The 16103-nt window shown below is 45.1% G+C and overlaps 1 protein-coding gene across 10 annotated transcripts in view; it reads left to right on the top strand.

Moving 5' to 3' along the window:
- The window catches only part of ARMC9 (armadillo repeat containing 9), a 178218-nt gene that overhangs the window by 84438 nt on the left and 77677 nt on the right, over positions 1-16103 (top strand). For 9 of the 10 annotated variants that reach the window (NM_001271466.4, NM_001352754.2, NM_001352755.2 and 6 more), the window contains 2 exons: positions 8285-8375; positions 13130-13185. In NM_001271466.4, the coding sequence (NP_001258395.2) occupies positions 8285-8375; positions 13130-13185 (147 nt within the window). Of the gene's footprint in view, positions 1-5591; positions 6952-8284; positions 8376-13129; positions 13186-16103 lie in introns of all 10 variants that reach the window. The other variant, NR_148040.2, reaches the window with a different exon arrangement.

Below are 16103 nucleotides of genomic sequence, written 5' to 3' on the forward strand. Positions count from 1 at the left end.
TGGGGAGTGAAGCTGAGGATGGGGCCATGTGAGGAAGAGTCACAGTTGCAGGTTGTGAGAGCAGGACTGCCCTTAGAGATCCCAGAGCAGGGAGAAAAAAGACGGAAGAGAGGGACAACTTCCGAAACCTATGTGACAACATCAGGTCTGACAGATACCCAATAGGAGTTCCAGAAGGAGACGAATGTGAGCAAATGGGGCGGAAAAATGATTGAATAAATAATGAAGACATGGTGAAAAATACAAACGTAACAGTAAGGTGTCTAGGAAACCCCTAAATGTTTGGAAAATAAACAGCACACTGGTATTAGTTATCTATTACTGCATAACAATTTACCCCAAAGCTTAGTGGCTTAAACAAGTTTTTGTTTTTGTTTTTGAGACAGAGTCTGGCTCTGTCACCCAGACTGGAGTACAGTGGCACCATCTTGACTCACTGCAACCTCTGCCTCCTGGGTTCAGGCGATTCTCCTGTCTCAGCCTCCCAAGTAGCTGGAACTACAGGTGTGCACCACCACACCTAGCTGATTTTTGTATTTTTAGTAGAGATGGGGTTTCACCATCTTGGCCAGGCTGGTCTCAAGCTCCTAACCTCAAGTGATCCACCTGCCTCAGCCTCCCAAAGCGCCGAGATTACAGATGTGAGCCACCATGCCCAGCCAATTTTTGTTTTAGTTTTTGAGACAGGGTCTTGCTCTTTTGCCCAGGCTGGAGTGCAGTGGCCTGATAGTAGTGCACACTGCAGCCTCCATCTCCTAGGCTCAAGCCATCCTCCTGCCTCAGCTTATCCAGTAGCTGGGACTATAGGTGTGCGCCATCACACCTAGCTAATTTTTTTTAAGAGACAGGGTCTTACCATGTTGCCCAAGCTGGTCTCAAACTACTAGGCTCACGTGATCCTCCCATCTTGGCCTCCATGCAGGGATTACATGCATGAGCCGCTGAGCCTGGCCATTGAATTTTTAAATTACAGTCATGTCCCATGTAACAACATTTTGGTCAACAAAAGACTGCATATGTGATAATGGTCCAATAAGATTATAATACCCCATTTTTACTGTACCTTACCTATGTTTAGAGATGCTTAGATACACAAATACCACCTTGTTACAGTTGCCTACAGTATTCAACACAGTCACGTGCTGAACAGGTTTGTACACTAGGATCTTATTAGCTATGCCATATAGCCTAGGTGTGTAGTAGGCTACACCATCTAGGTTTGTCACTTACTCTATGATATTTATACAATAATGACATCATCTCACAACACATTTCTCAGAACATATCCCTATCACTAAGCTACCAATGACTGTTTCTGTGGGACAAACATTCAAGAGCAATAGCAGCGTAGTCCTAACTAAGAGTTGCTCAGTTTATAGTTGAGACTTCAGCCTCTGCTTCCAAGCTCACTCACCTGGCTGTCAGCAGGAGGCCTCAGTTTTCTTCTGGCTATTGACTGGGGACCTCATTTTCTTCCCCCTTGGGCCTCTCCATAAGGCTTCTCTTGACATGGCAGTTGGCTTCCCCTAGAATGAATGATTTGAGAGAGAAAGTAAGCAAGACAGAAGCCCCAGTGTCTTTTAGAAAAACCTACTCTCAGAAATGAGATACCATCGCATTTATTGTCTTGGTTACACAGACCCACCCTGGTACAGTGTGGAGGGGATGGAACCAAGGATGTGACTACCAGGAGGTGGAATCACTGGGGCCACCTTGGGGCTGGCTGCCACACACTCCTAAGTAACTGTGGGTCAAAGAAAAAAGCACAAGAGAAGTGAGGGGCTATTCTTTTGAAAAATATTACAAATATTTTCTCAATTTTGGTTTGTCTTTTTAAATTATGGTAGTTAGCCAGAAGCGGTGGCTCACGCCTGTAATCTCAGCACTGTTGGAAGCCGATGTGGGCAGATCACGAGGTCAGGAGTTTGAGACCAGCCTGGCCAACTTGGTGAAACCCCGTCTCTACTAAAAATACAAAAATTAGCCGCGTGTGGTGGCACGTGCCTGTAATTCCAGCTACTCAGGAGGCTGAGGCAGGAAAATTACTTGAACCCAGGAGGCAGAGGTTGCAGTGAGCCAAGATCATGCCATTGCACTCCAGCCTGGGTAACAGAGCAAGACTCTGTCTCAAAAGGAAAAAAAAAATTATAGCGGTCTTGGTCAAACATCAGCTTTAATGATAGCCAGATCTGTTAATATTTTCCTTAATGGCTTCTACATAGGTTTCTAGATAGGCTGTGAGTTTTGGACTTTGAAAAGGAAATGTGGATTACTTACATAAAGATGTAAGTAGATGATGGGGCACGGTGGCTCATGCCTGTAATCCTAGCACTTTGGGAGGCTGAGGTGGGTGGATCACCTGAGGTCAGGAGTTCGAGACCAGCCTGGCCAACATGGAGAAACCCTGTCTCTACTAAAAATACAATAATTAGCCAGGTGTGGTGGTGGGCGCCGATAATCCCAGCTACTCGGGAGGCTGAGGCAGGAGAATCGCTTGAACCCAGGAGACAGAGGTTGTAGTGAGCTGAGATCATGCCACTGGACTCCACCCTGTGCAACAGGGTGAGACTCCGTCTCAAAAAAAAAAAAGACGTAAGTAGAATAAGCTTCCCTCTGGCATTTAACAGAGATTAAAGATATAAGCCAGGGAGGAACCCCCTTTTAGCCTGAGAACGCATCAGCTAGGCAGTTGCCTACTTAATTATTTGTGAGAGTGACCTCTAAGGGATGATCATGCCCACAATAAGGTTTTTCTAAAACCCTGAGATTTCCCTCCTTTCGTGTTTATCCTTGAGGAAGTTTTTAGATTGATAAAGCCATTATATTCTCTTTGCATGTAGGTCTCACATGGGTGCATTTGCTTGGCAGAGTTTAGGTTGTATGCCTGCACCCTAGCTGAAAGGGAGGCTAGAAATGCTGAATAATGAAGGAAATAAGACAACAAGGAAAACGTTTCCCACAATTCCTCCACCTTGACATCTGATCGTGCACGGTGCTAGGGAAGTGGAGGCAGAATTGATGTCCTCAGCCCTGCTGGTATTTGGTTTTTATTTGTTTATTTTTTTGAGACAGCGTCTTGCTCTGTCGCCCAGGCTGGAGTGCAGTGGTGGGATCTCGGCTTACTGTAACCTCCGCCTCCCGAGTTCAAGCAATTCTCCTACCTCAGCCTCCAGAGTAGCTGGGATTACAGGTGCCCACCACCATGCCCGGCTAATGTTTGTATTTTTAGTAGAGACGGGGTTTCACCGTGTTGGCCAGGCTGGTCTCAAACTTCTACCTCAGGTGATCCACCCACCTCAGCCTCCCAAAGTGCTGGGATTACAGGCGTGAGCCACCGCGCCCGGTGCCTGCTGGTATTTGTATGTGTGTCAGCACAGTCCTTCTGGAAAGCAGTTTGGCAGTTACATGAAAAATCACTAAAGGATCTATCTTTTGGACTCATTCATTTTCTTCTGGTTGTTGATGCACAGAAGAAGAGCTCTATGCATGACAATGCTCATTTCAACATTTTTATGAGGGAAAAGCTGGAAGCAACATAAATATCTAGTAATACAGGAATTGCTAATGAAATTATGATTCTTTTGCTCAAAATATTAATATCTATTGAAGATGATAATTAGGAAAAGCAGTACGAAGCAGTATGGAAAAATTTATTTTACTGTATAATGAGAGATAAAAGCACAGTATCTAAGAATGTATGTGCTCATGGAAAATGACACAATATACATAAAAATTACATTAGTACCAAATGCTATTATAGTAATCTTACAAGAATACCTAAAGGGAAAAAGGAGAACAAAATAAATGAATCCCCTGAGGCCCATTTGAACTTTAAGAGCCTGCCAAGGCCTGGGGCTGGAGAAGAGATCAGATAAGTGGAGCTGCCCTAATACCCACTCCCCAGGCCTCCTGCGACTAGGGCTGGAGTCATAGTCAGCCATGGGCCTCTGCCCTGGGGACCCCAACAAACATCCTGCCCAGGGCTGGAGCCGATCAGAGGCTCTGCAGGTTATAAAAGCTCCCAGAATCTGGGAAGGCCAGGGAGCTGGGCTTAGAAGCCACTCAGCCCAGAGGAATGTCCAAGCACACCATGGGGCTGCTCTGCTCCAGTGACCCTGGGGCCCACAGCACAGGCCCATGATGCCAGAAACTGCCTCCGCTCTCTCCAGAGGGCTGGGTGCTGCTGCTCCCCACCCAACAGAATGATGTGTATTCCCCACGCACCTGATCCTCCACATTGCCCACTTCTGAATCAAAGTCATTTGCTTGGCAGAATCTAGGTGGTGTGCCTGCACCCTAGCTGCAAGGGAGGCTTGGAATGTGAGTATTCTGTCTGTTGCCTTGGGAAATTAACAGTGTAGAGAACCTGGTTATAAGGCATTCATCAGCCACAGGTGTCACAGTTGTCCATTACAGGTGGTCAGCCTAGTCACTGTATTCCGTGATGCTCACTAGGTATGGGCTTTGCTTTGCTTTGCTTTGCTTTGCTCTCCTTCCTTTCGACGGGGTCTCACTATGTCACCAGGCTGGTCTCGAACTCCTAGGCTCAAGCGATTCTCCTGCCTCAGCCTCCCAATCTCATGATTACATGTCATGTAATCTCATGTCATGCAATCATGTCATGTAATCATGTCATGTAATCATGAGATTACAGACATGAGTCACCACGCCTGGCCTAAGTATGGGCCTTTCAAAATTAGTGTAGAAATTTTTCATATTCTTGGCCCCATAATTCTACTTCTGAAGCTCCACACAAGACATGAGCAAAGATGTATGTATCAGAATGTTCATTCCAGCTTTATTGATCATAGCAGAAGACAGGAAACAATGACAAGACCTAACATGAGGGAGTGACTAAGAACAGAGGCCGGAAGGTAGAGTAGTTGAGAGTGGGTACTCCTGAGCCTGAGGCTGGCTTCGAATCGTGTTCCACCACTTCCTAGTTGGCTAGTGACAACTGAAGCTCTCAGTGTGATCGTTTTTCCATCTGTAAGATGAGGATTATTGCAGTACCAAACTCATAGGATTGAAAGCATTGAAGGAGCTCATAATATATTTAGAAGATTGCCTAGCGTGCAGTAAGCATTGAGATGTTAGCTGCTATTATTATTATTATAGCTATGAAAATGTAGTTTATAAGATTTTTATTGAACATGAAAATGATCATAAAGTTAAATAAGAAGCAACATATTATCAGTATATTCTGAGTTACGTAAAACAATGTACATAAAAGGAAGGAAATACTTCAGAATGTTCCCAATTATCTCTGGGTGGGGGGCCTGTGAGTAATTTTTATTCTTTCTTTTATGTTGTTTGCAAGTTTTCTATACAGAACTTGTGTCACTTTCATAACTAGAGGAAAATATTTATATCTACCTGAAATAGATATTTGAATTTCTCAGGGGAAAATTTCCCTTGAAGACCTTTAGTGATAGAGGATTAGACTGTGAAGCTGGAACGATAGAATGCGCTAGAGAGTTCAGTTGTTGAGTAAAAGTAGAAGTGAGTTCGAAGTTAGTTGTTCTGTGTAGTGTTCAGTGCGTGTTGTCAGGCTCTGGAAGAGATGCTTTCTCTCATTTAATCCCTCAAAGGTCCCCTGAAGGAGTGACTGCGGTTGTGCCCATTTTGCTGCTGACAACATCAAGGCTGAAAGGTGAAATCCTCTGCCCAGGGCCACACGGCCGGCGAGGGGCTACGCACCGTGGTTTGACTCCAGAGCCCTCTGCACCTGTGCTGCAGTATCACTCCAGACTTGGGACTTTCACCTAGTCAGACATCTGCACATGACAAATTGTTTTCTTTAACACTATATATACAAACACAGGCTTCTCTATGATTATCTTTATGGTAGTCTTTAATGATAGCTAGCTGGAAGGAGCAGGAGTTCCTTATTTACTTTTTGCACACTGCTTGTATTCCCATTTTTATGCATCTGGATTATTCACTAGGACCTTTTATTATCCTTCTGTCTTCCTGGACATTGTTACCTGACCTAAATTATCTGAAATGACAAGTTATTACTTTCAGGATAAGATGTGGTTGTTCTATGACTTCTTTCTATAATTTAGATCAAATATTACCTAATATATGTGATTTTTTAAAAATACATGATATTTTGGCTGGGCACACAACTCACACCTGTAATCCCACCACTTTGGGAGGCTGAGGTAGGAAGACTACTTGAGCCCAGGAGTTCGAGACCAGCCTGGGTGACATGGTGAAACCCCATCTCTACAAAAAATACAAAAATTAGTCAGGCATGGTGGCACATGCCTGTAGTCCCAGCTACTTGGGAGGCTAAGGTAGGAGAGTCACTTGAGTCTTGGAGTTGGAGGTTGCAGTGATCAGAGATCGTGCCACTGCACTCCAGCCTGAGTGATAGAGCAAGACTCCATCTCAAAAAATAAATAAGTAAAAATTTTTAAAAGGGGCTTATCACACTGCTTTTTGCTTGATAACTTTCTCCTTCCTGTGGCCCTTACATTGAGTGGGGGATGGAGAAGAGAGGAGAGACACATTTGTGAGATAGATATAAAATTCAGCTCTCCCAGCAGTGCAGGGCCAAGGCAGTCATTGGTTGGTAACTGTCTCTCTGGTACGACAAGCCTGGCCAGGTGTCCAACTGGTCCCGCAGGAGCCTGGGCACTGCTGGTCCCTCAACTCATGGACAACTTTCCAGAGTTCTTCCTCCCTTCCAGATTGTCACCTCCTCCTCTGTGAGCTTACCCATCTCTGCCTCCCAGCTCAGTGTTACTGTTCCCTAAGGTTCTATCCTAACCCTCTGCTCTTCTCTCACTGCCATCACTGGGGAACCTTGTTTCTTCCCTTTGCTTCAGCTACCAGATCTCTCTCCTGAGCCACGAACCCCTACTGGACACAGCAAGCACAATCTTGACCATTTATCAAGCATCCACTCTGTGCCAGCCATTGGACTAGAGGCTATTTCTTCAGGTATAATTTACAAACAGTGAAAAGCACAGGCCTTACATGGGGGAGTTTAGTACATCTTGACGAATGTGTATATCTGCATACCAACAACCAGTTATACACTTTGTCTTTTAAAAATTTCAAGTCAACTCAAATTGTTATCCTCATGTTTATAGTTGAAGAAACAGGCTAGATGAAGTTGAGTGATTTGAGTGAGGTCACACATTAAATTCATGGGGGAGCTAATTGCAATTACAATACTGATTTAACTTTTCTAGAAGGTAGTGCTCTGTTTTGGATGATAAGAACTCAGCATGTTCAAAGCTGCACTTGGCATTTCTTTAATTCAGTTAGAGCTATTGATTCCAAACTGGCCTACATAAAAAGAGAACTTGTTGGCTCATGTAACTGAAAAGTCCAGGAAAATGTTCAGGCACAGTTTGATCAGGGGCTTACATGCCACTAGATCCGTTTCTCTGGCAGTACTTCTGGACTCCACTTCCTCTGTTTTGAGATCATTATTAGAAGCACTTTCCCCTCACAGTGGTTAGAGGCCTCGTCAGCTCAAGCTGTATGGACTCATTCAAATCCTGCCAGGGAAGAGGAGGGAAAGGAATTAGACAGTGTGCTTAAGTCAGTATATTATCCCTACTTTTCCCTGGAATTCTTTTACCCAATATTGAAAATTCTGGCATCAGGGTATTATAATAAACAATGTATAGTGTAGTGACTTTATAATTCTTTTAATAGAAAAGGAATGAAATCTGTTTAAAGAGAGGTTCTATTCATTTACTTCTCTAAGCATATGGTTTCACTTCTCAATGATCATATTTGGCCCTAAAATCCAGAAGACAGTTTATAAATTTAGGGAAAACACAGGAAAAAAAAAACTAGCTCCCAGACCAACATATTGCCAAAACTTAAGGCAATATTGTGCAGTAAAATTTTACAATAGTTTTTTTTTTTTTTTTTGCTAAATGTGTTATAATTCAGCCAGAGAGTCAATAAAAAGAAAATTATTTCACTATGAATTATGAAAAGGATAAAATGAATGTTTAGTATAAGCCAAGGATTTTTCCTTCTGCCCTTGTGGGACCAGTTGGACACTTGGCCAGGTTTGTCTTGCCAAAGAGATAGTTACCAACCAATGACTGCCTTGGCCCTGCCCTGCTGGGAGAGTTGAATTTTTGTATCTATCTCTTAAACATATCTGTCTCCTCTTCTCTGTCCCCCACCCAAGGTATCCTCTTCCTCTCCCCAAAACATTATTTTTTGGATTAGATGAGATGACCTCATTGAAAAGTAGTTTCCCTCCAGACACTGAAATGTTAACTATTACTTTCGCCAATACTTCTAGGGAATGGAAGACATCCTACGCTGCTTCATCAAAGAAGGCAATGCTGAAATGATCCGCCAGATAGAATTCATCATCAAGCAGCTAAATTCCGGTCAGTTTGATGCAAGAATCTTTGATCTATCTTTTGAATTATTCACATTTGCCAGAAAGACACATGGCATTTCATTCAAGAGGCCTTTAGGAAGCCGGGCACGGTGGCTCGTGCTTATAATCCCAGCACTTTGGGAGGCCGAGGTGGGTGGATCACGAGGTCAGGAGTTCGAGACCAGCCTGGCCAATATGGTGAAACGCTGTCTCTACTAAAAATACAAAAATTAGCCAGGTGTGGTGGCTTGGCCTGTAGTCCCAGCTACTCAGGAGGCTGAGACAGGAGAATCGCTTGAACCCAGGAGGCAGAAGTTGCAGTGAGCCGAGATTGCACCACTGCACTCCAGCCTAGGTGACAGAGCGAGACTCCATCTCAAAAAAAAAAAAGAGGCCTTTAGGAAGGTGGGGAGACCCAAGTGAACCCATAGACAAAAGTTCAGCCAGGTAGGCTGAGCGTGGTGGTTCACACCTGTAATCCCAGCACTTTGAGAGGCCGAGGCAGGCAGATCACTTGAGGTCAGGAGTTCGAGACCAGCCTTACCAACATGGTGAAACCCCGTCTCTACTAAAAATGCAAAATTAGCCAGGCGTGGTGGCGCATGCCTGTAGTCCCAGCTACTCAGGAGGCTGAGGCAGGAGAATCGCTTGAACCTGGGAGGCGGAGGTTGTAGTGAGCCGAGATTGCGCCATTGCACTCCAGCCTGGGCGACAGAGCGAAACTCCTTCTCAAAAAAAAAAAAAAAAAAAGTTCCGCCAGGTAGTCAAGGCCAGATTGTCCAAAGATTAACAATCTCTTATCGTACTCTAGGCATATAGTCAACAAAAAGAACTTAGAAGCAATTACAGAAACCCTCCCCTAACCTTGTAAGTTCTCTTTATGTGGCCTCTCCCTTTCCCCTCCTAAATCCTGCCCCACTATTAAGGTGGCTTCCCCAGGGTCCTGGGGTCAGATAATGAAAGCAAATGCCACTGTAAGAAACTTCATCATTTTCCCACTTTTATTCATTCACTGCAGAAAAACTGATGTTGCCAACTGCAGTGTGGAAGGAGGCAATGTGGTCCTCATTCTATCCAGCCTCCTCCATTACCATAACAACCCACATCCCATAGTAAGCAGGAGAGAGGAAGGCCAGGAAGCCTGGGATGGGGCAGAGGTGGTAGGGAAAGCTCTTCGGCTGTTTCTGTGGACTCCTGACATCATTCACCTGCCAGAGGTACCAAGCACTGCTGGAATCCGGGGCCAGGTTTGTCACTGAGTCTCTCTCCATGCCCTTCCCTGACACCCAGCAGTCCACATCCCTGCAAGTCACATGCGTGAATCCCTTCTGCACACGAGCAGAAAGTGAAGAGTGAGTCTCAAGAGAGCTGCTTGGCCAAGGCCAGAAGCCCCCAGGTGGCCTTTCTTCTAGCTCAGGGTTCACAGTCTGGCTGTACAGGGCGGTCACCTGGGGAGATGTTTAAATCTTTAAGACTGTACCCCACACAAATTAAATCAGAACCTCTCAGAGAGGGGATTTCAAGCTCCCAGTTGGGGTCTCATGTGCAGCCAAGGGCAGAGCCTCACTGCCTGGGTCGCAGAAACGAGGGTGTCCAAGGGGCTCCCGATCAAAAGGAGGCAGCTGAGGAGAGCAGCCAGGGAGCTTTGAAACCTTTGTCCTTTTTAGGCTGGGTGCCCATTTGCCTTGAATATCTCTTCTTTGGGTTGTATGGAACAGCTATAATTCATCCCAAATTCAGGTGGGCAAAAATTAGAACTTTATTTTTTGCAGTAACTTCATTTCTGACTCTCAGCCCTCATTCTGGCATATTGAAAAAAATAAAAATAAGACCTGAACCTCAGTGCTGCCTGAGGTTGCTCTCCTGCCTTCTCTGGGTAGGCCACGGTGTGGGGGCGGAGGATTGTTGCACATCCGCGCCATAGTCATCAGCTGTGCCCAGCCCTCCCAGGCCAGGAGTTCTCTGCATTCAGCCTGAGAATCTTCTTCAAGGCCACCTGTGTGTTTTAGTCCACTGAGATACATCTGTCTCCTTGTCTTCCCTCCTTCCTGGCAGCCAAGAAGCAGGGTGCAGGCCCCCTTTACTCTCTGGCCCAAAAAACATCTTTTTCTCTTTTATAAGCCTTGCCCTTGGACCAGCCTGCTAGAGTGGGATAAGGGGACAATTTACACTTTTGTAAGGGATGTCTCTGGAAGAAATTGTGTTGGGCAGAGCTAAACCTTCTAACCCTGGGCATTCTGGAAGGCTTGGGAAATACCTACTTAGTTCAGTAAGTTACTGTTTAAATAAAGAGGGCCTAAAGTATTTATCTTTCTATCTCAAGCACCTAAGTTATTCTGTATCCATAGGACAGCGGCAGGAGCCCGCCACTTTGAAACAAAATTTTACAGTGATTGAACATTCAGATGGAAGACCAGACACACAAGTACCTCGGGACATCCATCACCAGCATCAAATCAAAGTGAAACCCAGGAGGAGAGCCTCCATCCTGTCTTCATCCTCAAGTGGAAATTAATAGCAGAGTACAAATTGTTGCTAGTGTATCAGTTCTTAAGATGTGTGAAATGGCATTGCCACCATCTTTATTTAGATTATTGGTTTCCTTGTTCTATTTCAGTAAACTTGAAAACATCTCTGTGGGTTTTCACACGTCCAAGTCCAATCACAGTCTTCTAGCACAATTTTTCCAGTAAAGTTTTAAGGTCTTCAAGTATTAAAATTCAAGTATATTTTAGCGACCTAACCCCACAGGTGGGGAAGGACTATTCTGGCAAAGCCTAAAGGAAAATTCCAGCTGGTGACATTGACAACGCCGGGTGAGCTGCCAACAGCAACAGCAGAGAGATTTGTCCCCTGGCTTGGGCCTGGACCACAATGCCAGCCCTCAGGGAGGGGAACCAGCACCAGAGAGACAACAGGGGCACCAGCCAGGTCACTGGGCAGGAGCAAGGCAGAGCCCCCGGGAAAGGAATGATACTGGCCATTCTAGCCCCACGTGTGTTAGATATCGGAGTGCGGGCACCTCATGGAGTGTGGACCAACTCAGGGAACAGGATGGGAGATAGTCATCCCAGAAAGGAGCTGAGGTCTACAAGGCACTTCACTTCTCAGGACAGGATTATTCTGGGTAGTGGGATGAGTCTGAGCCAGCAGGCCTTGAGGTTATGGGGTCAGGAGAAGGGGAGCTGGGCAGGAGGAGGCAGAGAAAGAGAAGCGTGGCTGGGCTGTCTGTGGCCTTACAAAATAGCCAAGAGTCTTAAAAAAGGCATTTCTGTATTCGAAAATGAGCGGTTTATAACTGATGAGTACAGCAGCACTTCCTGAAGGTGGAATGGTGTATGCTGTTGGTGGATAGGGAAGTTAGTCATTAAACTTCAGCCAGAAAGCAGAGTGGCATCACATCTTCATGCCTGCACAGTAGCTTTCTAGACTAAATGGCATTCCACAACAGTGCTGCGACCCGTGGGGCATGCAAGCCTCAGTGAGCAGGGGGACACTTTGGTGTCCCACTGGCCTCGGTCCAGTGAAGTCAGTGGAGTCCTTCCCTTTAGAACGAGCGTTGGGTTGAGAACATGGGTTTCTACATCTTCCCTCCTGGGAATGGTTTGGTGTTTGATCAAATGTGGGTGCACCCTGCCTGCCACTTTACAAGCTGGGTGCTCTCCTCAAGTATGGCTTTAGTTCCTTCTTTTCTCCTACTTCCCATTTGACTTCCTTTCTTCTTTCAGGCTTTCTTTACCTTCATGTCATTTGTTCAAGAAACAAGTGATAATAAGAAAGATGTAGTAGGGATAGAGGGAGGAGTAAGTCAGCTGCTCTGTCCCCAGGGACTCACAGTTCAGTGCAGTGGGTGAGAGACGAGTCAGTAAGCATTCATTCATTAGTAAGCAGCAATCTTCCAGAAGTGGCGTGAACTGTCAGGAGTTCTAGATAAAACGCTGAGTGTGTTCGGGGAGGAAGAGATGGCTGCTGAGCAAGGGGATCAGGGAAGACTTCGTGGAGGAGAAAGTACCAACACCTCTGCAGTGCCTGCTTCTTACCTGGCCCTAAGCCGGGCGCTTCCCTTGTGGTGTATTGTGAGGTCCTACCGACAACCCTGAGAAGTGGCTGGTACAACCCCCATTCTACAGAGGAGGAAGCCGGGGCTCTTTCTTTCTGTAACTCCTTTGTGCTACCAACTTACTGCTCTTTTGTAAATTCTTAAAAAGACCTAGCGATGAACCACAGAGCCTTCAGGAACCCTACCTGCCATGACCACCACCCATACCGCCCGTGGAAAAATCATGGAGTTTAGAGATAGACTCGGCTTGAATCTCAGCTGCCTGCCACTTACTGGAAGTGAGACCAAGAAGTCTCTCTTTCCTCTCTGTGCCTCTCTGTAAAATGGGGGATAATAGTCAACAACATATTTGTAAGGATTAAGTGAAATAACGGGTATGGCAGAATCTAGCATGATGCCTTGAAATAAATATTTACTTACTTTTCCCTAAATTCCCCTAAAATTATATGCTGGCTTTTAATTTTCCCCATGCTACTATAATCATGTTCTGGTAAAAATGGAGAGATTTACTATTTAAAATTGCTTAGGATGATCTCAGACAGTGACTGAAATGGTTGTGATTAGGATGGTTAGGAGCATGATGACTTTGATGTAACCTCATTCTCATTAAGGTGTTTATGTCTCTGCAGAGGCTGACAGATTCTGTGGACCAAGGCTCCCACTGTTTATCCATTATTCATTGATTCTTTTTTTCTTTATAGAAGAGCTACCAGATGGTGTTCTTGAATCTGATGATGATGAAGATGAAGATGATGAAGTAAGTTGGAGGTTCTTGACACCACATAGAAAACCCATACCAAACTATTCTCTCTTTCCTGCCTTGACAAGTTAGTCCAGAAATGGAGATTTTTCATTCCTGCTACACTATTTCTCACAATTCTGAGGGTTGGCTAAAGCTCAGCTGGGTGGTGGTTCGGGTCTCACTTGGGGTCTCATGTGGGGAGCCCAGCGGCCATGTTTGAAGACTCCCACACTCATTGGGTTCACAGCAGAGACGCAGCATTGCATGTCATTCGAGTTTCATGGGAAGCTGAACAATGACCATTCTTCTGTGTGAGCTTTTGCTCTGAAGGGGCACGAGCCTCGGCCTGTCTTCCTCACCGGTGGGAGTGCTGGGCGTGTAGGCGCCTGGCGAGAGTCTCTGGCGTGAGGGGTCCTGGGTTTAGTTCAGAGCTAACGGAACTGACCAGTTTTCTCTGTTATTTGCATTCTTTTGACTTGTGTTTCCTCAGCTGTGAAAAATCTACTTGCCTGGTGTTTTAGAGCATGAAGGTTTAGAAGTTAATGTATGCGAGTCTCTGAAATGATGTAAAGAATGGTGACTCAGGGACTGTAGTTGGATTTTCAGATGACAAGATTTTACATGGTTTTCCTTCAGATACCTAGGAAGAAAAGACCTGTTGTCCCCTCTGGTCATCCTTGATTTGCCTGCCTTCATTTGCAGGGAGCAGTTACTCCTGCAGTGAATGCTGGAACATTTTCATCTATTTTGGGGGGAGCATTCACTGAAAAAGTGGATGTCAGAGGATGTTTTTTTGTTTGGAGTCGTGGCCTATCAGCTTGTAAAATGTGTAAAAGCCAGGTTTTTGATCACTGATGGCATCAGTTGGGAAAGAGGTATTTAAGAGCCCCTGCCAGAGAGGATCTGCTAAGATCTGCTGGGAGATGCTTCCTCAGCAGGCGGCCTCTGTGGCTGCCGTTTTCTTCACAGGCTGCAGGTGGCATCAGCGGGTACGTGCTCCTGCTGGCTCTTCCTGCCTTGTCCAGCAGTGCAGAGCTTGACCTCCAGATAGGGGTCCTGGCCCCTATCATCTTCTCCAGGCCCCTTTGTTTACAAAGGTGGAGGCAGAGGGAAAAACACCAGCTTGAGCTCACACAGAGAGTTGATGGTGGTAAAATTGGGTTTAGAACAGGAGTCGGCAGACACTTTGTGTAAAGGAAAAGATAGGAACTATTTTAGGGCTTGCAGGCCACACAGTCTCTGTTCCAACCACTCAATTCTGCCATTGTAACACGGTGGCTGTCAGCAGTACATAAGTGGCTGAACGTGGCTGTGTTCCTGTAAAACTATTTATGGACGCTAAAAATTTGAATTTCATACAATTTTTGCATGTCATTAAATATTCTTTCAAATACTTAAAAACACAAAAATCATTCTTAGCTGGCGAGCATAGGAAAGCAGGCACCTGACTCGTGGGCCATTGTTTGCCAGCCCCTAGGCAGTTCCCGGACTTGGGCAGCCTTCTCTTGATTATAATGAGTCACCACCTTTGTGCCTGGCCCTTCAATATCATTCTAAATGATAGTTTAAATTAATATTTAATTATTTGTTTTTAACAACTTTTTTTCATTGTGTCCTAAAGTTTGTCTCGAGATCTGTTTTCTTCCCTTCTTGTATCATCCCTTTGGGTTTTTCGGTTTGCTTTGGTTTTTCATTTTGCTTTGTTTTTGCTATAAATCCTGTTTTTATCTTATAAGGGAAAATTCATTTTGTTCAACTGTTCTAGTTAATGATGAGAACTCAATTTCTGGAAATTTCATTCTGAAAGCAATTGTCTACTGTAAATGAACAAATACAGAAGTCTTATAATTTTCTGGACTTTTGCTACTCTTTTAAGAGGTTGATGTTTGAAAATACTTGTGATAACTAGAATTTTCAGAAGATTTCTAGAAGAGGTTTAGTTGGAAAATTATAAGGAAAAGATCTGTCATTTGGGCCAAATGGGACTCTGTGATGAACCCCGGGCAGCAGATGGGGGCTCCTTCTCCCAGGTAAGCCTCACTGCGCATCACCGGTGCCAGCCGGGGCAGTCCGGGCACAGCCGGTCTTGCCTGGATTTTACTCAGCTTTCACCGGAGGCTAGCATTACGTTTATAACTGTCTTTCAAAGTTGGAGGGAAAAAAGAGAGTGACAGATCTTAGGCTAAAGAAAATTTCTAAGAATCCTTTGAGAAGTAGCACTGTTGTTGGAATGTGGTTATCACTTCCCAAGGTGACAGCTCTGAAGGAGACAGCAAAATTATTTGCAAGGTGTTGGAGTCATACCTTATCTTGCTTAGCAGTGTAAATGTTCTTTCATTTAATATTTAGACCCAAAACACAGAAAAATGAAACCACTGTTTTCAGTTAGCTGCTTAGCAACTCTAAAGATAAAATGGTTCTAATGGGGCCAGGCACGGTGGCTCACACCTGCAATCTCAACACTTTGGGAGGCCGAGGTGGGCGGATCACTTGAGACCAGCCTGGCCCACATGGTGAAACCCCATCTCTACTAAAAATACAAAAATTAGCTGGTTCATGGTGGCGTGCGCCTGTAATCCCAGCTACTAGGGAAGCTGAGGCACGAGAATCACCTGAACCTGGGAGGCGGAGGCTGCAGTGAGCTAAGATCCTGCCAGTGCACTCCAGCCTAGGCAACAAAGCAAGACCCCATCTCAAAAAAAGTGGGGGGCTGTAGTGGGATGGGGCCTGAGACCAGGGTAAATTATGCTCACTCTAAATCACATTGAGCTGAAATCTGTGCGCTCACAACTTCCACCACTGCTATCCCTGCTTCACTGGAAACTCTCAAGAGAACCCCTGATGCAAAGTCTCGTTTTTCTCTGTAATTTATAATGACTTGATCTAATGTGCTAACCTAACAAAGTTATGTCTGAATATACATACGTTTATAT

Source organism: Homo sapiens, chromosome 2 (assembly GCF_000001405.40).
Source record: "Homo sapiens chromosome 2, GRCh38.p14 Primary Assembly".
Classification (NCBI taxonomy): Eukaryota; Metazoa; Chordata; class Mammalia; order Primates; family Hominidae; genus Homo; species Homo sapiens.